Here is a 25044-nt window from a genome sequence, read left to right on the forward strand (position 1 = left end):
GGTTCAAGGGCTTACGTGTTATATCACTAAAATATTAGTTATAATAGAATGTTATATATCCATCAAGAGTGATTTTAAATATTTAGTTAATATGAATAAATTTTCTTCGGAGAAAAGAAAGTTAAAATGAAAATTTAAAATTGTATACTTAGCATTAGAAAAACTGTGCTGAACAAGGTAATGTATACAGAGCAGTTACTGTAGTGCAGATATTGTACAAATTTCTTGAAATATATGCATATTTGTCCAGCATTGTGTTAGGTCCTGAATAATTAGTTTAAAAAATCCCTATCTCTACGTAGTTAATATTTTATTGGGGGGGAGTGAAAAGATAGACTAGTAACAAGTAAGGAAACATAGAACAAAGTTGTGATAAATATGAAAATATTATATGAAGCAATGGAAAGGACTAGAAGAATCAACTTTAGACAAGGGCCTGGGGAAAACCTCTCTGAGTGGGTGATATTTGAGCTGACTCCTGAAAACTGAGGACAATTCCACGATGTGTGCGTGAATTTCTGGGCAGAAATCTGAGCAGTCTGTGTCTGAAAGGGACCAGAAACAACACAGCAGAATGTGTGAGAATTTAGCACTGGTCTGAACTCACACAGGTGTGAGATGAGGCTCTGGGAAGCAGGCAAGTGGGGAAAGCATGAGCATCACTGCAAAGCATTTAAAGATCAAGGGAGAGCTGAACCACAGCCCAAAAAGTGCACTGAGCTGTATTATGGACCTAAGCACTCTCTGTTGTTGTCTGAGGACTCTCTGTTGAAATAGCAGGTGTGAAGAGTATCCAGTCTCGTGATGTATGATAATACTCAGCACATTCAGGATACAGTCCAAAGCTATTCATTATACCAAGGACTATAAAACAATAAACTTGCACAAGAAAATACAATCTTTAGGTCCCAACACTGAGATGAGACAGATGTTGGTATTACGTGATGAGGATTTTAAAGTAGCTATCACAACAGTGCTCCAACAAGCAATTACAGGCATACTTGGAACAAGGGGAAAATACGAATTCATGGCAAAGAAATGAAAGATACCAGGAAGAACTAAATGAAAATTTTAGAAGTGAAAAAAATAATAGAAATAAATTGCACTGGACAGACTCAAGAGAATGGAGATGACAGAGGAAAGATCAGGGATCTTGAAGACAAGTTTAATAGAAATTGTCCTGTTAGAATAGAGGAGACAAAACACAATGGAGAAAAGTGAATGTAGTCTCAGAGACCTGTGGGAAAATAACAAAAGGTCTAACTTTCAAATGATTGGCTCCCAGACGGAGAAAAGAAAGGAGTACCTGCCGGGCGCAGTGGCTCATGCCTGTAATCCCAGTACTTTGGAAGGCCGAGGCAGGTGGATCGCTTGAGGTCAGGAGTTTGAGACCAGCCTGGCCAACATGGTGAAATCCCGTCTCTACTAAAATACAAAAATTAGCCAGGCATGGTGGCAGGTGACTGTAATCCCAGCTACTTGGGAGGCTGAGGCAGGAGAATCACTTGATCCCGGGAGGCAGAGGTTGCAGTGAGCTGAGATCATGCCACTGCACTCCAACCTGGGCGACAGAGGAAAACTCCGTCTCAAAAAAAAAAAAAAAAAAAAAGGACAGGACTGACTGAAAACATTTTTGAACAAATAATGGCAAAAAACATCACAAACATGGTGAAATACATAAATTCAAGGAGATAAGATAACCACTAAGGGGTCGTGTCCAAATGAATCCATGTCCAGATACACCATGACCAGATTTCCGAAAACTCGAAAAAACCAAAGAGAAATGCTCTATTCTCTATATGAGGACAATTCCCGTGACATCAGAAACCATGGATGCCAGAAAGAAACTTCCATAAGGTGTTTATTTAAAACTACTCAAATTCACTAGGATTATAACCAGGCTCTGTTACTTACCCACTGTAGACTTCAAGCAATATTCTGAATCAGAATTTCATTTTCTTTATCTTTAAGAGGGGGACTATAATTACAGCTACTGTAATAGATGTGTGAGAATTGATATAGTACTATATACATAAAATGCCAAAGAGCGTGTCTGGCTAAGACATGTTAGCTAATATACCATCATGATCCTCAACAACCACAAAATAACAGTAACTTAATACACTGTTATAATTCACTGGAGCACGTCCCTGTTTTGTGCATTCCTCACGCACAGAGACTTGGAAAGGGGAGGCTCTTACCAAAGGGAAGTCTGCTGTTCTGCAGCCGCCTCCTCACACACACAGAGCCTTTGAGAGCAGGGGCCTGGAGGGGAATAACAGAGAAGGTCCCCAGATATAGGGAAGGATCCTGGAACTGACCTCCCCACACCAGCTGTCATTATCATCGCAACTGCAGTCTCAGTGACACTGTCTGCAAAGGGGTGTCTGACAAGGTCCCAACAATTAAGGCCCTGTCAATGAAGTGAAGTTTTCCCACTGACCCACCTGGAGTAACCTGAAAGGCACAGTGTCGGCATCTGCTCAGCACAGGATCAGCCTCTGCTCAGCATGCCTCCTGGGACCAGGCCCTTCACCATTGGGCTCTATGGGCTCTAAATGGAACCTAAGAGATGATCTGTTCCCAGCATTAACATTTACGAATGAAAAAACTGAAATTTATGGATAACGAGGAAAGTTTCTGCAGCCATTTGTGGCAAATCTAGCAGTGAAGAGTCTTCCAGTTGCCACCCCTCATGTCCCTCTTGTTTTCATCGCTCTCCACAGAGAAGAGAAACACACTAGGGGGAAAGCCCCTCTGCTTCCCCATCATGCCCACTTTCATCCCAAACCTCTGTGTGTTTTCATTCTCCCCAATTCAGAGACCTTCACTGAAATTTAAAATGCTCCTTCAGGCGGGGTGTGGTGGCTCACGTCTGTAATCCTAGCACTTTGGGAGACCGAGGTGGGTGGATCACTTGACGCCAGGAGTTCGAGACCAGCCTGGCCAACATGGTTGAAACCCTGTCTCTACTAAAAATACAAAAATTAGCCAAGTGTGGTGGCACACACCTGTAATCTCAGCTACTCAGGAGGCTAAGGCAGGAGAATTGCTTGAACCCGGAAGGTGGAGGCTGCAGTGAGCTGAGATTGAGCCACTGAACTCCAGCCTGGGCAATAGAGCAAGACTCCGTCTCAAAAAAATAAAAAACAATAAAAAATAACATAAAAATAAATAAAATGCTCCTTCAAAGATCAAAGCACAACAGGCACTCCCATAACTGAGGAACAAAAAAGTAGGGAAGAAGTGTTCATGCTAATGATTAGGGAATATTCAGAGGAAGGATTCTACCCAAATAGGAATGCAACTATGATGTTTTAGAAACAGAGAGAAATACATATAAACCAGATAAAAGAACCCATGAACTTAGGAAATGACATAAAGAAAACTTTAAAATCCTAGAAAAAATATGAGGGTGATGGGAAAAAGAATTAAGTATTCAAAAGCTGCTAAATGTTACAAATTCAATTTATTGATAGAATTGTAATCAAGGAACAAATATGTTATAAAAAAGATATTCTGAAATTCATTTAGAGTAATAAATAGGAAAGTATAATCAATAAGTTATGTTGGAAAAGTTCATCATGAAAAGATGAAAAGTTCATTCATGAACTTTCGTATATGCAATGCATTTCATGTAGTAATAAAAAAGATAAATAATTAAGTTACGAGCATAGAAATAACCTGATAAATAAAAGAAATAGAACACAGAGAAAAGAAAATCATTATATTATAAATAAAAATAAAGTACCTGATAATTTGATGCTATAAATTTGGTGGAAAATTTAGAATAATTTACTGAACGGTGTTGTGGAAACTAGGTAATTATTTGGAGGCTATAAAGTTGTTTGACAATTTTTACACACAAACAAAATAAGTTCTAAACAGCTGGACAATTAATTATGTTATAATAGAAATTTCATGTTTTTTGAGAGGTCTTAGGATTTCTTAAGCAAATCAAAAAAGGAAAGAAAGAGGCCACGCGTGGTGGCTCACGCCTATAATCCCAGCACTTTGGGAGGCTGAGTCAGGCGGATCACTTGAGGCCAGGAGTTCGAGACCAGCCTGATCAACATGGTGAAACCTGGTCTCCACTAAAAATACAAAAATTAACCAGGCGTGGTGGTGCACTTCTGTAATCCCAGCTACTCTTGAGGCTGAGGCAGAAGAATCGCTTGAACCTGGGAGGCAGAGGTTGCAGTGAGCTGAGATCGTGCCACTGCACTCCAGCCTGGGAAACAGAGTAAGACTCTCTCAAATTAAAAAAAAAAAGAAAAATTAAATGAATTAAATTAAAATAATTAGAAATTCTTCATGCATAGCACAGCATAGTTTAAAAAAAAAAAAAACTAGAAAAATATTTAAAAATACATGAGAAATACAAGGTTAAATTATTACATGGACCGTTTATAAATCAATGGCTAAAGACAGGATTCACAGAAATAAAAAATGAGGAATATATGAAATTACTTGCAATGTCATGTTGAAATGAGAACATTTTGTAACACTTTATGCCTATCAAATTGGCGAGGTAACATTTTAATTTACAAATCTGCTGTTGTAAAAATATAGCAATAAAATTATACTTTTTTCTTTTACTATTGGTGATTCACTTGTTGTGGAGTGCAACTTGGCTACAGGCTTCAATATTCTTAAAGTGTTTTATACCCGCTGATCCCCCAAATTCAAGTACTAAAATGTAATTGCCGATGTGATAGAATTAAGAAGTTGGGCCTTCAGGGAGTGATTAAGTCATGAGGGTGGAGCCCTCATGGATGGGTTTTGGGCCTTTATAAAAAGACTTGAAAGGGTGAGTTTGTCCCGTTCCATCCTTTCCACCATGTGAGGACACAGTGTTATGCTCCTCTGGAGGATGGAGCAAAAAGGCACCATCTTGGAAACAGAGAACAGCCCTCACCAGACATCAGTCCTGTTGGTACCTTGATCTTGGACGTCCCAGCCTTTAGAACCATGAGAAATCAATTTCTATTGTTTATAAATTGCCCGGTCTGTGGTATTTCGTTTTGGCAGCAGAAATGGACTAAGACAATCCCCCAAATTGTTTTTTAATATTCCAAGAAATAATCAGAAGCACAAATAATGACTTAAAATAACTTGATAATTCTATTTTGATGAAAATAATAGGCAACACACAAAATAGGGACATGGTGTAATGAGCTATAATAGTATATTATGTTGCTATTATTTTTTGTTATTGTTGATGATGACGATGATATATTAGCTTGCAAATTTTGTTCAGTGCTGGGAATTGTTTTCAGCATTTTATACATAATAGGATGTCAGTTCTCATACACCCAATGAAGTAGATATAAACCCCTTTAAGGATCAAGGAAATGAAACTCAGGGTGCTTAAGACTATTCCTTAAAATCACATAGAATGTAAAATGATAGAGGCTGGATACAATCACAATCATTTTGACTGTTGTTTGTTGAATGCTTTTTGTATAAAATTTTTCAAAAACCAGAAATGCAGAAAAAATAAGAAGGTATGAACCAGGCGGCGGCTCGCGGAGGCGCTTCTCTGAGCATGACGCGCGGACTCCGCTCCCGCAGCCCGCCCGCCCGCCGGTCTAGCAGCCGCCTCCCTCGCTTCTTGCGCCCGCCAAGCGAAGGCCAGTGGCCGCAGCGACGCGGCGCGGAGAGGTGGTGGGTGCTCTATATGGCGGCGGATCTGTCGGGCCTGGCTGTCCGGCTCTAGGGCTCGGCCGCCGCCCGCCCCCGTGGGGTCTTCTGCAAGGGGCTGACTCGCAAGCTGCTGTCTTCTTCGATCTGGCCTGGCGGCTGCGCATCAACTTCCCCTACCTCTACATGGTGGCTTCCATGATGCTCAACGTCCGCCTGCAGGTTCATATTGAGATCCACTGAAGGCCCTCCCGGACTGACGAAGGCGTGACCTCAGGCCCACCGCATCCAAAAACACGAAGCATGAGGGACAGAAGAGGGCCCCTTGGCACCTGCCTGGCTCAAGTACAGTGGGCCGGAGGAGGTGACTCGGACAAACTATCATACAGCCTTAAGAAAAGAATGCCGACGGAGGGCCCTTGGCCTGCAGATGCACCCTCCTGGATGAATAAGCCTGCGGTTGATGGAAATTCACAGAGTGAGGCATTATCACTGGAAATGGCTGGCCTCTCGCTTCCCAGTGGCGGCCCAGTTCTTCCATATGTGAAAGAATCAGCAAGAAGAAATCCAGCCTCAGCAGCTACTCCGAGCGCAGCCGTGGGTTTGTTCCCTGCTCCAACAGAGTATTTTGCTCGGGTGTCCTGCAGTGGTGTTGAAGCTCTGGGGCGGGACTGGCTGGGAGGAGGGCCCAGGGCCACCCACGGCCACAGAGGACAGTGCCCCAAAGGAGAGCCTCGGGTGTCACGACTGACACGCCATCAAAAACTGCCGGAAATGGGAAGTTTTTGGGATGACCCACCAAGTGCTTTTCCCAGTGGTCTGGGCTCTGAGTTGGAACCCTCTTGCCTGCATTCCATCCTGTCTGCAACACTGCACGCGTGCCCCGAAGTGCTCCTGAAAGATGAGACGAAACGCATTTTCCTTGACCTTTTAAACCCCATGTTTTCAAAGCAAACAATAGAATTCAAGAAAATGTTTAAAAGCACCTCAGATGGTCTGCAGATAACACTGGGGTTACTGGCGCTGCAACATTTTGAATTAGCAAATTCATTATGCCATAGTTTAAAGTACAAGCAGAACAATGCAAGTAGATTAATTTTAAGAGTTGTCTTAGAATGATTTCTTTCGCATTAAGTCTGGATGCAAACTATGCAGCCCTTAGGTTCCTGGTGTGGTTTGTACGACCTGGCAGACTTAGTTGAGTTTGAATTCAAAGCCGGTTGATGCGGAAGGAAATTTTTTAGCATGTGTTAAATTGTGCTTTAAAAGACATATAAAAAATTGGGAAACATTTCAGGAGACGATCATAGCCTGTATAAATATCAGATTAGAACATACGGATTTACCATGAAGTTCTGTCTTCAACACCCAACACTGTCTAAAGGGCTACTGTCCCAAATCCTGTGTGTCCCTTCGGCTTGTCTGATCACCCAATGGAAGTGGATACTTGTGAAGTCTACACTGCTGTACTTGGCGTTAAATCTTGCTGAATTCATGGTAAGCTATTATCATTTCTACATTTTGTAGAATGATTTTGGTCTGCAGCAAAATTCTATTTCACTTCTCACACCTCTTTCCTTCCACTTGAAATGCAATTTAGACAGAGGCATTGTGGTGAAAGTTGCAATATTAAACTTACCTTTAGAAGATCCCTTCTCAAACTCGGAACCCTAGCAGTGTTACCTTAAAAATGAGCTAGAGAAAAAAATAGCTCAGTTACAGAGAAGCAAATCAAGTTATTTCCCACATAAAAAGTTTCCCAGATTCTAGGAATTGCAGTATCTTGTACCCTAAAGTTTTTCCAGGTGACTCCTTTGGTTGTCTGTTGATAACTTTGATAAAGGTCATTTAAGGGCATAAGGTTTTAAAGACTCCCAAAGTGAGACTTAACCATTTTCGGGATTAGTGATTGCATATACCAGTTTATGTTGTGTGCTGAATTACTATGCCATGTGCTATTTTAGTGTTTGGGGAAAATGAAAAATAAAATTTGTTCTTTAGCGTAATAAATATGTCTTATTAAAAATACAATGAACTGAATGACAATGAAAATGCAACACATCAACATTTGTGGGCATGTATAAAGCAGGGCTGAGAGAGAAATTCATAGAACTAAATGCATAAATTAGATGATGAGATAATTATCAAGCCAATAATTTAAGCTCCCACTTGAAGTACATAGAAAATAAGAGAAAAAACCCACTCAAAATTAGAAGGAAGGAAATAATGACTACAATAGCAGAAATCAATAAAATTTAAAACAGAAAAACAATAAAGAAAACCAATGAAACAAAGAGCTGGTTCTTTAAAAAGATCTATAAAATTCACAAACATCTAGCAAGAGTGACAAAGCAAAAAGGAGAGAATTATAGATTATAAATATTAGGCATGAAACAGAAGGTATCACTAAAGACCTTGTAGATGTTGAAAGGATAATAAATGAATACTACAAACAACTCTAAACACATACGTTTGTCAACTTAAATGAAATAGACCACTTTCTTGAAAAGCATAAACTACCACAACTTATCAATATAAAACAAATAATGCAAAGAGCCCCACATAAGATCTCCAGGCTCAGATGGTTTCACTGGAAAATTCTGCCCAAAGCTTAAAGAATAATAAATACCAATTCTATATAACCTCTTCCAGAAAAAAGAAATACAAGGGGATATTTCTCAAGTTATTTTATTTATTTATTTATTTATTTATTTATTTATTTATTTATTATTTTTACCACTATCAGAATAATCACATTTATTTACTTACTGTCTTATTCCACCATTTATATGTAAATTCTATGGGTAAGGGCCTGCTCTTACATCCCACACCTCTAGGTCTACAGAGCCTAGAGGCATGAGGTGTAAGGAAAGCACTCCTTGACCCTCCCTGGCCAGGCCACATGAGTTCTGGATCTGAATTTAGAGCCACAGGCTTTAAGCAGTAAAATAAACCTGAGGTTTTCTAGAGGCATTGAACTTTCTCCTTTTATAGACAAGATGTGCCTAAGAATGGAGAGTGGCTTCCTGTAGTAACCCAGCCACTCAATAGAGACTAAGCCCACAATGACCTGAGTCAAAAAGTCTGCAACCTTTTCCCCCCAAATCCCACCTTCTCTTTCTCTCAACTCATTTTTAAAAGCTAGTATTACCTTGATACCAAAAACAAAGACAGTTGAAAAACAAAACAAAACAGGAACTACAGACCAATATCCCTCATAAATATAGACACAGAATTAAGCAATATGTAAAAAGAATTATATACTATGAGCAAGTAGGGTTTATTCCTGGAAAGCAAGGCTTGTTCCATATGTGAAAATCAATGTAACCTACCATATTAACAAGATGAAGAAGAGAATCACATAATCGTATCAATTGATGCAGAAAAATCATTTGACAAAATGCATGATAAAAACTCTGAGAAATGCCAGGTGGGGTGGCTCACACCTGTAATCCGAGCACTTTGGGAGGTGAGGTGGGTGGATCACATGAGGCCAGGAGTTTGAGACCTGCCTGGCCAACATGGCGATACCCTGTCTCTACTAAAAATACGAAAAAATTAGCCAGGTGTGGTGATGCATGCCAGCTACTTGGGAGGCTGAGGCATGAGAATCACTTGCACTTGGGAGATGGAGGTTGCATTGAGCTGAGATTGAGCCACTGCACTCCAGCCTGGGTGACAGAGTGAGACTGTCTGACAAAAAAAAAAAAAAAAAACTCTGAGAAAAATAAGAATAGAGAGAAACTTCCTTAATTTGATAAAGAACTTTTACAAAAACTCCAACACTTAACATTATACTTAATGGTCAAAGAAAGAATGTTTTTCTCCTAAGAAAGGGAATAAAGCAAAGATATCTGCTCTTACTACTCTAATTCAATATCGCACTGGAAGTTTTAGCCAGTTTAGTAAAGCATTTAAAAAAAGGCATATTGATCGGAAAGGAAGAAATAAAACTGCTCACTTTTGCCGATAGCATGATGGCTATGTGGAAAATCCAAAGAAATCTATTTTAAACCACCAAAATCAACAACTCCTAGAACTAGTAAGTGAATTCAGCAAGGTTGCAGGATACAACATAAATATACAAAAAAATCAAGTGTACTTTGAGTGATGAACACTTGGATATAAAAATTAAAAATACAATAAGTACCATTTATAATTGCTCAAAAAAGGAAATACTCATTTCAAATTCTAACAAAACATTCATAAGACTTGAATGCTAAACATTAGAAATTCTGATGAAAGAAATCAAAGATCTAAACAAATATCGAGACAAATCATGTTCTTCAATTTGGAGACTCAAAATAGCAAAGATGTTAATTCTTCCCAAACTCATATATACAATTCCTATAAAAATTTCAGCAATATTTTTTTGTAGATGAATAGAAGATTATTTTAAAATTGTCATGGAGATGCAAGGGAACTAAAATAGCTAAAACATTTTTGAAAAAGAATTACCAAGTTGGAAGAATCAATCTATCCCATTACAAGACTTGTTGTGTAGCTATTGTAATCAACAGCACGTGGTATTGGTAGAGTGAAAGATACACAGACAAATTAAACAGAACAGAGAACTCATACCCACATAAATATAACTGACAGGTTATTGACAAAAGCATAAAAGTAATGCAGTGTGGGGAAAGGAATTTTTTCAACAAATATTGCTGGAGAATTTGCATATCCATAAGCAAAGTTGAATGGTGACATGAACCTAACACTCCATACATGAATTAATTCAAAATAGACCATGGACTTACATGTAAAACTACAAATCTTTTAGAAAAATACATTAAAACCCTTCAGGACCTAGGGCCAGGCAAAGAATATTTTAAACTTTACAACAAAAGCATCATCAATAAAAGTAAAAATTGATAAACCAGATGCTATCAAAATTAAAGAAAAAAATTTTGTTCTGTGAATGACCTTGCTAAGAGTATGAAAAAACAAACTACCAACTAGGACAAAATGTTTTGAAAGCATACAATAGACAAAGGATTAGTATCTAAATTACATAAAGAACTCTCAAAACTCAATAGTAAAATAAACAAACAGAAAATGGGCAAATGATATGAACACGCATTTCACCAAAAAGCACAGATGGATGTCAAATAAGCACAAGGAAGGACATTTAACATCATTTGCTATTATGAAAATAAAAATTAAAATTATGATGAGCTATTACTATACACATATGACAATGGTTAAATAAAAAATAGTGACAACTCCAAATGCTAGTGAGGATGAAGGGAAATTCTTCCCCTTATTTACTGTTAATGGGAATGTAAAATGGTACAGCCACTCTGGCAAAAAGTTTGGCAATTAAAAAAAATGACACTGGCAGTGCCATACAACTCAGCAACTGCATCCTTGGGCATTTGTCCCAGAGAAATGAAGACTTGGGTTTACACAAAAACCTGCACATAAATGTTTAGAGCAAGTTTATTCGTAGTGGCCCCAACTGGAAACAACCTACATGTCCTTCAGTTCGTGAATGATTAAACAGTCTGTGGTACATCCATAGCACAGAATACTCTTCAGCAATAAAAAGGAATACACTATTGATATGCACAACATCCTGGATGAATCTTCAGAGAATTACAGAGTGAAAAAAGCCAATGCTGAAAGGCTACAGAATGCATAATTCTGTTGATATAACATTCTTGACATGACAAAACTATAGAAATGGAGAATAGATTCAGTGGTTGTCAGAGATGAAGGAGGGACTGGGGGCAGGAGGGAGGTGGGTGTAGCTAGAAAAGGAAAACTTGAGGGGGCTTTTGCAGTGAAGGTAATGCGTCTTGACTGCATCAATGCTAATATCCTGGTTGTGATATTGCAATATAGCTTTGCAAGATATTATTGTTGGGAGAAACTGAGTAAATGGAATGCAGATCTGTGTAAATAATATCTTAAAATTATTTGTGAATCTACAAGTATCTCAAAATTAAAATTTAACAATACATATGTTCTACCTCTATCCACTGAATATTCCAGGAAACAAAAATCTAGAAGCAACAAGCACTCCTGTTGTCTACATTGTGGACTCTAAATGTCACTTCCACCTAAAAGGAACTAGGGATCCTTAGAGAAATGGCTTGTTCCCTACCTGGTGCAGGAAATGTACCAGATGAGCCTGGAGCATCTTGTTATAACAGATGCCAAGGAGCCATCAGGGACTACTGGGCACACGTGTAAAGGGTCCAGACGCCAACATGAAGAGGCTCTCATTGGCCAAATATGGGATAATTTGAGCTATAAAATAATAACTGGAATGTTTTGAAACATATCAAATATTTGAAAAACTCAAGACTTTATAATAATATTAAGAATGCTCATTAAGCAGGATGTGGTGGCTCGCACCTGTAATCCCAGCACTTTGGGAGGCCAAGGCTGGAGGATTGCTTGAGGCCAGGAGTTTGAGACCAGACTGGGCAACATGGTGAGACTTTGACTCTAGAAAAAATAAAAAAGTCAGCTGGGCATGGTGGCACATGCCTGTAATACCAGCTACTTGGCTGAGGTGGGAGGATAATTTGAGCCCAAAACTTCGAGGCTGCAGTAAGCGGTAATTGTGCCACTGCACTCCAGCCTGGGCGACAGAGCCAGACCCTGTCTGTCTAAAAAAAAAAGCCCCATTTGTTTCCTTTGGTGGATGCTAGGGAACCAACTGATTGCTATGACAATTGGTAAATGAAGGAAAAGAATCAAGCAGTGATCCTACATTTCCTGCACAAACAATACTGAAGACTCCAGTGATGAGGGGAGGCTGCTGCACATAGAGTCACCTCTGCCCTGACCTCCACGCTTTGGCTGTTCAATCTATTCTCAGCGCTTCAGGAGATGTTCCTGTTAGACAAAAGTCAGATCGTGTGACTCCTCCACTCAAATCTGCCAATGGCATCCCGGTTCACTCATAACATGGACCCAAGCCCTTACATGAGCAAAAGGGTCAACACCATCTGTCCCCACTGCCTCCTAACGCGGGCCCCTCCCTCACTCTCATTAGCCATCCTGGCCTATTGCTCTTTCTCACACTCAGCACATGCGGGCCCCAGGGCCTGTGCACTTGCAGAGCCTTTCCCAGATTCCCCTGTGGCTGTGCCTTCCTCACTTACCCAGCGCTTGGCTCAAGGGTATCCTTATTAGAGAGGATTCCTGTTTTGTGTATCCACTTGTGGTCCCAAACCTCACATGGTTCCATCTGATTCTACAGATCGCATGCTTCTCCACTAAGCTGGACTGTGTCAGGGACTAAGTGGAGGGCAAAAAGAAGAAAAAGACATAGTCCCTGCCCTGCACGATCTTCAATTTATAGCAGAAAGCCAGGAACACACACACACACACACACACACACACACACACACACACAGCCTGCTCAAAGTGAGTCTGCCCTGGAACGTGGGAAGCTGGCCTAGCTCTGCACAAGAAGGGAACCCTGTATAAACTGACTTAGCAGAGAAGGTCATCCCAGAGGAAATGAACCCTGTGCGCTGAGCTCTGAAGAGCAGGAGGGCTGGGGTGGTACAGGGGATGGTGGTGTTTGTGGGACTGAAAGTAAGATTATCTGGAATTATCTGGGTGGGTCCAATCTAATCCCAGAAGCCCTTAAAAGCAAAGAACTTAGCCTGGAAGGAGAAGACAGTTGCATGCATGTACTACAGTTTGGTTATTTACTTCCCAGTAGATGGACATTTGGGTTGCTTCTAGTTTGGGGCTGCTGTAAACACTTTTGCGCAAGGCTTTTTGTGGACATGTGTTTGCATTTCTGTAGATGCTGTGGTGAAAAGGAAGAGGTATGTATAAATGTTTTAAGAAACTTGCAAACAGTCTTCCAAAATGGTTGTATCATTTTACACCATACAGTAATGTATGAGAGGTGCTGTTGCATTAGCAATGATTAGCCTTTTTCATTTTAGCAATTCTGGTAGGTCTGTATTCGTGTCAGGGGGCAATTTTGATCTGCACTTCCTTGATGATTAATGACGCTGGGCATCTTTTAATGTGCTGATCTGCCATATATCTTATTTTGTAAATTGTCAGTTCAAAGCTTTTGTGCATTTTAAAATTTGGATGTTAGTCTTTTTATTATTGAATTGTAGCAACTTTTAGAAAATATATTCTTAACATAAGTCCCTTGACAGATACATATGAATATTTTCTGTCAGTCTGAGATTTGCCTGTTTCTTAAGAATGTCTTTTGATGGTCAGAAGATTTAAATTTTAATGAACTCAAATTTTTCAAAACAATGTGGCCAGTGCTTTCTGTCAATTCCTTAACAAATTTATGTCCACCCCCAAAGTCATAAAGATATTCTCCTAGTTTTTCTTCTAAAAGCTTTCTAGTTTTACTTTATTTATGAGTAGGCCTGTGATCCCTTTTGGAATAATTTTTATATAGGGTGTGAAGTAAGAGTTGAGGTTTGTTTCCCCCTCATATGGATATCTACTTGTTTCCACATCATTTTTTGAAAAAAATTGTTTTCTTTTCGTATTGAATTGCTTTTGGGTTTTTGTTGAAAAAATCATTTGACCATATATACATGCGTTTATTCCTGGAATCTTTTTTATTGATTTATTGTGTTGTCTTCACCACTACATTATAATCTTGAAGACTGTGAGTTTATTCTAAATCTTGAAGTCAGGTAGTTTAAGTCCTCTAAATTTCTTCATTTTCAAAATTCTTTGGGCTATTCTAGGTTGCTTTTCCATATATATCTTATATATTCTAGATTGAATTTCCATATATATTTTTAAATCAGCTTGTTAGTTTCTATTTTTAACAACCAACTAGAATTTGGAATGGTATTCCATTGCATCTATAGATATATTTGGAAAGAAGTCATCTGTTAACAGTAGTTTTGTTTTTCTCAGCAAAGTTTTAGTTTTCATTAGTTTTCTTACACACTTTTGTTAAATGTATCCCTATGATTTTGGATGCTATTATAAAAGGTATTTAAAATGTTTAATCTTCAAATCCTACATAATTATGCATGAATGTACTATGGGTAACTTTGGGTTTAACCAACATGGATTCACAGAACTTTTTGGATTTGTATATTTACATCTTTCCTCCAATTTGTGAGGTTTTTGGCCACTACATCTTCAAATAATTTTTCCGCCCTTTTCTCTTTCTTTTGTCTGGGGCCTTCTATAATGTATATGTGTTTGGTATATGGTGTCCCATAGTCTCTTAGGCTCTGTTTACTTTTCCTCACTCTTTTCTTTTGCTCCTTAACTTGATAGTTTCAATGGACTTATCTTCACGTTTGCTAATTCCTTCTTCTGCCTTTTCAAGTCTGCTTTTGTATCCTTCTAGTCAATTTTTCTATTAGGTTACTCTATTTTTCAGCTCCAGAGTTTCTATTTGGTTCTCTTTACAATTCCAATCTCTTTGTTGATATTCTTATTTGTTTATATATTGTTTTCCTGATTTCCTTTACTTCCTTGTCTGTGTTTTCCTTTAGCCCTTTAAGCATATTTAAGACAGCTGCTTTGAAATCTTGATCTAGTAAGTCTGAGACCTGTGTTTTTTCAAAGATGAGTCTGGATATTCATTTTCTTCCTTTGAATGGGCTATGCATGTTTTCCTATTTCCTTACATGCCTTGTAAGTTTTTGTTGAAAACTGCAATTTGGATTAAATGGCCACCTCTCCCAATCTTTGAAGAATGGCTCTGCGCAGAGGAAGACCTTTGTTAATCACTCTAGTGTAAAGATTTAAGGTCTTTTGGACATAAACCTTCCATGGGCCTATGTGTGTGCTATTTTTCCAAATACCCCACATAGACAGCTGTTATTAATGTCTTAATTTCCCTAGGAGATTCACTCCTGCCTCTTCTAGAGGCCTCAGCATTCTATTGCATTTTTTAATCAAAAACCTCTTTCCGCTGGCATCCCTGGTTCTGTAGCTTGGTACATTTTTCACAAGCCATACTCACTGCTTCTTGCAGATTCCACTACCCTGAGATTTGAGCTAGTCACTTTTGCCATCTGAGTTCTGATTTAGGCCACACAAAGACCAACTCCTCAGCCACCTCCAACAGGTGAGAGTGTTACGTATCTGGTCTTCTCTGCATTTTATAAGTTGAGGTTTCATGGCTGCTAGGTATATTTCATAACTTATTTTATTTTATTTTATTTATTTATTTATTTACTCCACTATTTACTACTAAAACTTCCTAAGCCTACAGATATTTCCAAGGAAGGTCTTGGAGAAAATTAAGTAGAGGCAGTAAAAAGCTGACATAGAGATCCACATGGAGATTTTCAGGAAGTCATGGCATTATGACAGTAAAATAAAAGTTTCTTTGTCCTCATGCAATTCAATCATTCTTTTAACAGGCATTTACTGTGTGCTTACTCTCTAAAAGTCATTGGAGATAAAGCAGCAACAAAGTGGAAACAAATCCTGCCCTCATGAAACTTACAATCTAGCGATGAAGGAGAGAAATACACAAATAAGGATGGTATTTGGCATGCCAAATGATAATGAGAGCTGCAAGAGAAATGGGGCAGGAAGTTGGTAGGGGGTGGTTTGGGGGTGGGTGTCAACACTGTTCCTAATGGATGATCACTACAAGTGATCTGGGGAGACATCATTGACAAGGTGACATTTCAGCAGAGATTGGAACAGAAGAGAGACCATCATTTGGGTATCAGGGGTAGCAATTCAAAGCAGAGGGAAGAGCAAATGCCAAGCCCTGGGGCAGGTGCATCTTCATGTATTCAAGGAGCAGCAAGGTAACCTTTTAGACTGCAGCAGAGTGAGTGAAGGCCCAGCTCTGGAGTTAGATCAGAGAGATAACCAGTGGCCAGCTCAGCCTGGACTTCATGGGTGATGGGCATATTTTGGCTTCTACTCTGATGAGTGGAAATATATTGGGGTTTTGAGCTGAGGAGTGACCTGGGAGGTTATTCTGGTGCTGACTGGAGCACAGACTGGGTGCAAGGACAGGAGAAGGAATATTGTTAGTAGGCAGCCACAGTCATCCTGTCAAGAAGTGATGGTGTCAAGAACAGATGAAGGCAAAGAAGTGGTAAGACACAGGCATATCCTGAAGGTAGGGATAGAGGCTTTGCTGATGGGATGGAGAAGAGGCAACAGGGGAATAAGTCAAGAAATACCACAAAGCTGTATTCTGAACACCTGTCAGGATGATGTTGCTTTCACAGCAAAGGGGTACTGAGGGACAGTAAGTTTGGAGAAGTCTAAGGTTTGGTTCTGACACGTCAATTGTCCACATGAACAGTTAGTTTGAGAGGAGTTAGTTTTCAGGGGTCTTTTAAATATCAAAGTAGAAATAACCAGTGCTCAGGAGGATATAAGGGTCTGAGGCTCAAGAGAAAGGTCATAGCTGCAGGTATAAATGTGATGGCTCATCGGGGAGTGAGCTGTCCAAGTTCTGTGCAGATTTCAAGGGGTAAATTCAATGAGCCTGTTTGTGGCCACAGCCTTCCTCAGGCTTCCCAGTATCCACATTACCACAAAAAGCCTCAGTGGTGATCTACTTGAGTCTGTCCCCACATGTTGGGGCTTGAGTTATGCAGAATCCCCATCTTGCTCCCTTTCTCCAACATGACAAGAAGACCTCAGTTAGCCAAAATGTCCTGAAGAGGGCTGAGGAATTTGGTCTGAATCATCCCACAAATTCATGGTACAGGAAATAAGTGCTGCTTTTGTCGTTGGCTCTAGAAAGATGATATCGGCCGGGTGCAGTGGCTGATGCCTGTAATCCCAGCACTTAGGGAGGCCGAGGCGGGCGGATCATGAGGTCAGGAGATGGAGACCATCCTAGCTAATACGGTGAAACCCCGTCTCTACCAAAAATACAAAAAATTAGCTGGGCATGGTAGTGGGTGCCTGTAGTCCCAGCTACTCGGGAGGCTGAGGCAGGAGGAGAATGGCATGAACCCAGGAGGCAGAGCTTGCAGTGAGCTGAGATGGCTCCATTGTACTCCAGCCTGGGTGACAGAGCGAGACTCTGTCTCAAAAAAAAAAAAAAAGAAAGAAAGAAAGAAAGGAAGGAAGGAAGGAAGGAAGGAAGGAAGGAAAGAAAGAAAGAAAGAAAGAAAGAAAGAAAGAAAGAAAGAAAGAAAGAAAGAAAGAAAGAAAGATGATATCAACCAATGTTTTGCCATAAGACTTTGCTTTGGATTGGGATTTTAACTCTGGGATCTGGCTCTAGGTCTCTTGCCTTCCTCTTTACGAGGTTAACTTGGGATGGTTAGCCATCCAACCAAGTCCTCATGTTTCTGAGAGTCATTCCCAGCCATATCATCCTATTAACCATTGAATCCATTGTCTACCACTGCCCAAGGCTGGGATGCAGTTTTTTTTTTTGGTTAGCTTCATTGAGATATAATTGACAAAAATTATGTCTTTAAGGTGTACAATATATTTTGATATGTGTATACGTTGTGAAATGATTACCACAACCAAGCTAATTAACATTCCCTTCAACATACATAGCATTTTTTTTTTTTTTTTGAGACGGAGTCTCACTCTGTCACGCAGGCTGGGAGTGCAGTGGTGCAATCTTGGCTGACTGCAACCTCTGCTTCCCAGGTTCATGCGATTCTCCTGCCTCAGCCTCCTGAGTTTTTGTGGTGAGAATATTTAAGATCTACTCTCTCAGCATATTTCAAGTATACATTAACTAGAGTCTCTATGTTCTACATTAGGTTTCCAGAAAGTTACTCATTTTACATGTAAAAATTTGTACCCCAACATCTGTCCATTTTCCTCACCCTCAGACTGCTGGTAACCACTCTTCTGCTTTTGGTTTCCGTGAGTTCGACTTTTTCAGATTCCATGTATAAGTGAGATCATTTAATATTTATCTTTCTGTGTGGCTTATTTATTTCACTTAGCGTGTCTTCCACGTTCATCCACATTGTCACAAATAGTAGGATTTCCTACTATTGCTTGAACCCAGAAGGTGGAGGTTGCAGTGAGCCAAGATCGCACCATTGCACTCCAGCCTGGGTGACAAAAGTGAGACTTCATCTCAAAAAAAAAAAAAAAAAAACCTTTGAAAAGAAGTGAGGATTTGAGGCTTGGCACAGTGGCTCATGCCTGTAATCCCAGCACTTTGGGAGGCTGAGGTGGGTGGATCATTTGAGGTCAGGAGTTCAAGACTAGCCAGGCCAACATGGTAAAAGTCCATCTCTACTAACAGTACAAAAATTAGCTGGGCATACATCTGTAGTCCCAGCTACTCAGGGGCTGAGGCAGGAGAATAGCTTGAACCCAGGAGGTGGAGGTTGCAATGAGCTGAGATCACACCACTGCATTCCAGCCTGGGGAACAGAGTGAGACATTATCTCAAAATAAAATAAATAAGTAAAATAATAAAAAGAAATGCAGATTTGGGACAATGGGGACACTTAGCTGATGCACAGCGCAGGTGAGCAGTCCTTCTTTTGTGACCATGAAGACATAATTCCCAGGAGCCCACCTTGGGGTCTCCTAGAAAAAGCATGTGGGCTGCTCACCAGCTGCATATCCACCTTTCCTTTCCTGCACTCTCAGGAAGATGGGAGTTCTGGATTCAGCTGAACTGAGTTCAAGTTCAGACTCTGTGACTCACTGGCTGTGTAATTCTGGGTAAGTTACTTGCTCTCCTTGAGTCCCGTATCCTCCATGGTAAAATGGAGAAGTGGAGTTATTGTAAGGATTTGAAGGCAAGGCAAGAGTTAAAGAAACACACACACACACACACACACACACACACACACACACACACACACACACACACAGAGAGAGACTGGCCGCTTCAACAGCAACACAGGTTTATTACTAGCAAAACCCTGCGGAGGGGGAAACCAGCTTAGTGTCAGTGCCCACTGCCGCTCACAGGCTGGGGTAATCATAGCGCTGGGAGGGAGGGCTCTGGACAGTATAGCTTGCTGCTCAGTAGAAGATGATAAGGATGTTCCTGAAGTCAGGCTGTTGGGCCTTTGCCCAGCAGGATGTGATAAGGATGTTTCTGCAGTCAGGTGGTTAGGACATTTCTCACAGCCCGAGTTCCCATGGAATGTTTTACTCCAACCAGGATCTGCAAAACAGCAAGGGGTTTACCAAATAGTGCAGCTTAGACTAACAGTAACCTCTCCCAGGTAGACAGTTCTATAAAGTAAACTTCCCTTGAGCACCTACACTGTACCAGACATGGTGCTAGGACCCAGGCCACAGGAGGAACAGGACAGATGAGGCCCCTGCCATCCTGGTGCTCTTGTCTGATGAAGGAAGCTAACAGGTCGTAAGACCAGGTCAGATGGTGGTGGTAATGAAAGACATTACCAGAGTGAGATGAGCTAGAAAGAAACTGAGGGAGCTGTTCCAAACACAGTGACAGGGAGAGACCCCTCCAAGAGGTGACCTTTGAGCAGCAACCTGAGAGATGTTGGGTGGGGGGAGGCATGGAAAAGGAGCTGCCCCTGAAGCCATCCCAGGAGTAAAGACCCAGCACGAGGTGGGCAACAGAATGGCCTGACCTGTGCGTCCTTCATGCTTCCTTCCTCAGTGGTGCCCAAACAGAAACATGGGGCAATTCCACGCAGGGTCCATGGAGGGAGCAGAAAGCAGCCGCAATGAAGAGCCACGGTGGGGATGAAATCTGGCCCAACAGTGAAGCTAGAAGCAGGTGCTGCTTACCACTCACCAAAACACAGGTCATGAAGCATACCCAGCCCCTGAAGGCACGTCCAGGGCCAGACCAGCTGGCTGGGCTGCCAGCATCCTAGTAGAGATCCCAGAAGATCAGATAAGCTGGTTGAAGGTGGGGGAGAAAAGGAAAGCTTCAGAAAATTCCATAGGACCCATGACACTTAGCATGGACTTTCCCTGAGTGGGATCTGTTTGGCATTGCTGGTTCTAAAAAGTTGGTCCCACCACCCCCACCTGCCCGGTGCCCGACCAGGGGAAAACCTGGGATAAGGTCCACAGAAACAATCCCTGTGGAATGGGAAAGGGTGTTCTCATCCAAAACCAAGGGAGGAATCCCACAAAACACCACTCATAAGGAGCAGAGGGGCCTACAGGGAGAAACAGGATTCTGCTGCTCGCTGGGGAATCTGCTTTTCAGCAGGAAAAGGAACATGCAGGATGCAGAAGCAAAGTGGACCCTGAGCTGTGGGGTTAGGGGAGCTAGCTGGTGCTGACACTGTCAGGGATGAGCCACAATAGGAGGCTTAGAACCCCTTACTTAGAACACACTAACTCAGAGGGCACCTGAGAGTAACCTGAGATGGTCCCTAAAGACTTTTCATCCAAGCAGGATCCCTCCCTTGCCATCTCCAGACCTGCCCGACAAGCTCCCTCCCTGGTCTCCTGGCTGTTGTTCACTCCTTCCAGGAAGCCTTCCACAGTCATCTCTAAAACGTGGCTGACTGTCCCTCCTTTATCCAGAACCTTCCATGGCTCCCCAGAGCCCTCCAGATCAAGTTCAAGTTCTTTGATCAGACACTTGATCTCAAGCTGCATTCTACCTCCTGAATTAAGATCCCAGAGATGCCCACCTTGCTCGGCACAAGTGCATCAATGAAGTCCAAAGTCTTGAATGTGGCCTTGGCCTTGAGGACGTCAACACCCTGGCTAGTGAGGGTGCAGTGCCGCTCCAGGATGATGGTGTCTAAAGTTGAGCACCAGGTCGCAGGCCCGCAGAAGCATCTCCCCTCAGGAGTGAGGTAGTACAGGAAGTCTGTGCACAGGCAGATCTGCTGGTGCCATTACACTATGAGGGCATGGAGCTCCAAGATGGTGGCAACATAGTCACTAGAATTCCTACAGGGTAAGGCTGGGGAGAGGAAGTAGCTGCATAACACATATGATACCCTGGAAGCACTTCCCAGCCAGAGTCTCAGGACCACATTACATCCAGATACAGGTGCCCTCTGAGCACACTTCTCTCTCTGCCTCCCACTCTGAGCTGCCTCCTGGCCCCACATGGGCAGCCTGGCCCAAGGGTTGGAGCCCAGCAAGTGTTCAGTCCATGGTGTTGACTGCTCCCTGGGCCAGGAGAGCCCTTGGTGACTCTCTGACTCCTCCTGTGGAACCTCTGACTCTGCCTTGGGACCTCCCAATTCCCATGGGAAGCCCCCATGGCTCTGGATTGCCCCACCTTGCCTTGGATCCTCCAGCCCCACAGGCCTTACTTGATGCCTTAGCCCTCCCAGAACATGACATGTTCCTCAGAATGTGGCTGATGTCCAGGGCCATATGTGGATGTTTGCTGGGGGCTTCTTGCTGTTCTCCTTTATGGTCTGTAGGGCAGGGCAAGGCCAAAAGGAGAAACCAATCCAACCTCAGAATGGACAAAATGCTCACTGCCACAAACGGCAACCACTTACAGTCAGCAGTGCTTCTGGAAACAAAGGTTTCATTCTGCAAAACGCTCCTTGTTGGCTTCTTTCTGAAGCCAGGGAAGGATACCAAGCCCAGCTTACCTGCAGTGCCTGCATTAGCATCTGTGCCTAGGATGTGCGATGGGCCCCTGCTCCCACTGCAGGGTTGACGTTCCCTCCAGCTGGAGACCTGGGCTCCTGACACCACCGGGCCTGTTTGTCCTGCTCTGGATGAGGGTGGAAAGGCTGTATCTGGCATTTTCCTAGGTCCTTAGTTTCCACCTTCTAGACATCCAGCAGGAGTGACCATGCCCAGCCCCACACCTGAAATGGGACTCCCTTGTAGAGCAGCTGAGACATCTACAGACAGAAGAGTGCTCTGGTGAGACAGGCCACAGGGGTCCCCAGGGAGGGTTGGGGGCCAGAAGATTCTGAAGGCTTCCAGTCTTGGGCTCTGTGGTTCCTCAAAGAGGTTAGGTTTAACTAAAACCAGGCCTCCCCTCCCACGATTCAAAGAGTGGGTGAGTGCTCTGCGTCAGGAACTCTGATCTGGACCTATTTTTTCATTTAGGTCACCAAGAGACAACCCCTAACCCCCAAGCTAGGGATGGTGCAAGCTCTGGCATGAGATTTTCTTCTAGCAACGTGATGCTTACAGGGACAGGTAGAAAAGCTGGTGATCAGGCCTGCTGTCCTCCGGGTAAAGACAGTGGGCCACCCACGCTCTGAGAGGCCGGTGGTGCCAGGCCACAACACTGGGTGCCTGTACCCCTGGCTCTGCAGACACCGGTCATGGAGGCCCTCCCCTCTCCATATTACCCTCTTGCTGCTCCTATATTTCTTCTAGTTATTAAACAATTTGGGCCATTTTTCTGTGCATCCGATCTGACATTTTTGCTCTCAGATGAAACATGATAAAGGAAGCCAAGCCGCCAGTATTCCTGGAGGGGACCTTGGGTGCTGGGTCTTGGGCTCCAGGGCCCTAATGGGACTGAACCAGAAGGAGCCAGGGAAGGGCAAACACTGGGGCTGAGGCCCTAGGACCCAATGGCCATTGGTGGCCGGGACTTATGGCCCCAACACACCCTGTCCTCAGGCCACAGACACCATGGGCTTCGGTCAGGTCCCAGCCTCCCAGTAGTGTCCTGGTACTAGCAGGTGCTGACCCCTGAGCCACAAGCACAATTCTGGGTTTTGGGTTTTGGTAAAACCACCTCAGGGACAGAGTTCTGGGGTTGGGTTTGGCAGGAACCATGGTGCCTCCCAGGGATGGTGTGTCACTCCTACTTGCCACAAAATGTGCACACAGGCTGTCCCACTGTCCAGCCCATCCTGCTGGACAGGATGGAGGAAGTCAGGGAACAGGTAGGGTGGACATCTGGGGTGCAGGGAGGGGCAGGTGCATGCTGGGAGGTCAGACCCTGCGAGGGCTGTGGGGGCATCAGGCGGAGTGGGCTCCAGGTGCACCCTCAATGCACTGGGCAGGTCTCAGGCCAGGCTCCCTGGACCCCGGCTGGGTGATGTGGTCACTCCCTGGGGGACTGCTGTCAGGCCCTGGCCACCCACCCTGGGCAGCACCGTCCTATCTCAGGACTGGAATTTCTGCAGTCTGAGACAGGACAGTACTGTCCAGGCCTGACAGACTGGGAGGACCCGTTAAGTCCTCCATCCCTAGACCAGCCTCCCACACAGCAAGGACAGTCTCTTAGCTCTACCTTCAGGGCACTGACTGATCCTGCTCACTCTGAGGCAACCAAGGCAGAGCTGAGGACCTGTGCCAAGGCTGGGAGCCAGTCCCCTCCCTAAATGGGCCTGAGGGAAGCACCATCCCTGTCCCAGTCCACTGCAAGCTTCAGCCCAGGAGACACATAGGGAAGGGAGGACGGAGCCCCTCTGCTTCCTGACACTGCAAAAGCGGGACCCAGGAGAAGAGGGAGTACAGGGCTGGCAGGGGACACTCCAGGCCAATGGAGAGCTCCAGCTGCACCATGGGGCTGCCCCTCCTGGGCTGGAGGCTGTGCCCTCTGCAGGATCTGAGAAAGTCCAGTCCTGAGATGGGACAGTGCTGCCCATGGTGGGTGCCCGGTGCCTGACAGCAGTCCCCCAGGGAGTGACCACATCACCCAGCCGGGGTCCAGGGAGCCTGGCCTGAGACCTGCCCAGTGCATTGAGGGTGCACCTGGAGCCCACTGCGCCTGATGCCCCCACAGCCCTCACAGGGTCTGACCTCCCAGCATGCACCTGCCTCTCCCTGCACCCTGCTGCCCACCCTGCCTGTTCCCTGGCTTCCTCCATCCTGTGCAGCCCATAGACTGTGACCATCTATCTGGCCACTGTGGCCCTTCCTTTCCCTTTGTCCTGTTGGAATCTCTGAGCAAGATCTCCCAGGTCCATCGAAACACCTGCTTTGTCCAGTTTTGACTGGGTCTTTGGGCACTACTGGGCCATCCCAACTGTCCACAGGGCCCTCAATAACGTGCATTGCACCTGACATCTCCCAGCAGTGCTCAGCAGCCCCTGCTGACCAGGTCCAGGTCCCTGCTGGCCATATCCCACACATCAGGTCCTCCCTGACCACACTCTCACTGATTAGAACCCCATGACCAGGCCCCACTAACCAGGCCCTTGCTGCTAGGCCAACAGTGTCCAGGACCCCACTGACCAGGACCTTACTGACCAGGGCCTCACTGACCAGGTTCTTACTGACCAGGGCCTCACTGACCAGGTTCCACTGATCATGACCCCATTGCCTGGCACCATAGATGAGGCCCCACTGACCAGGCCTCCAGGGAACAGGCTGCCACTGACCAGGCCCCTATTAACCAGGCCATAGGTGACAAGATGCCCCTGACTGTGACCCTAGTGAGTAGGCCCCACTGAATAGGCACCCACTGCTCAGATCCCTGCTGACCAGGTCACCCCACAGACCACTGCTACAAGAGCCACCACTGAATGCGCTCTCTCTGAACAGGCCGCCACTGATTAGGTTCCACTGACCAGGCTGCGCTGACCAGGGCCCCACTGACAAGGGCCTCACTGATGAGGACATGGCCAGCAG

The 25044-nt window shown here is 43.6% G+C and overlaps 1 long non-coding RNA gene and 2 pseudogenes across 1 annotated transcript; 1 reads left to right on the plus strand and 2 right to left on the minus strand.

Annotated features, from left to right (window-relative positions):
• On the plus strand, positions 5512–7664 carry FAM220BP (family with sequence similarity 220 member B, pseudogene; annotated as a pseudogene).
• FAM95C (family with sequence similarity 95 member C) lies at positions 19417–24222 on the minus strand. Its single transcript, NR_047651.1, has 3 exons — positions 24166–24222; positions 21162–23488; positions 19417–19699 (listed from the first exon to the last, which is right to left on the minus strand). It is a non-coding gene; the product is annotated as a family with sequence similarity 95 member C (long non-coding RNA).
• On the minus strand, positions 21164–21419 carry CYP4F33P (cytochrome P450 family 4 subfamily F member 33, pseudogene; annotated as a pseudogene).
• Positions 24223–25044: the final 822 nt, after the last annotated feature.

This window comes from Homo sapiens, chromosome 9, assembly GCF_000001405.40.
Source record: "Homo sapiens chromosome 9, GRCh38.p14 Primary Assembly".
Taxonomy (NCBI): domain Eukaryota; kingdom Metazoa; phylum Chordata; class Mammalia; order Primates; family Hominidae; genus Homo; species Homo sapiens.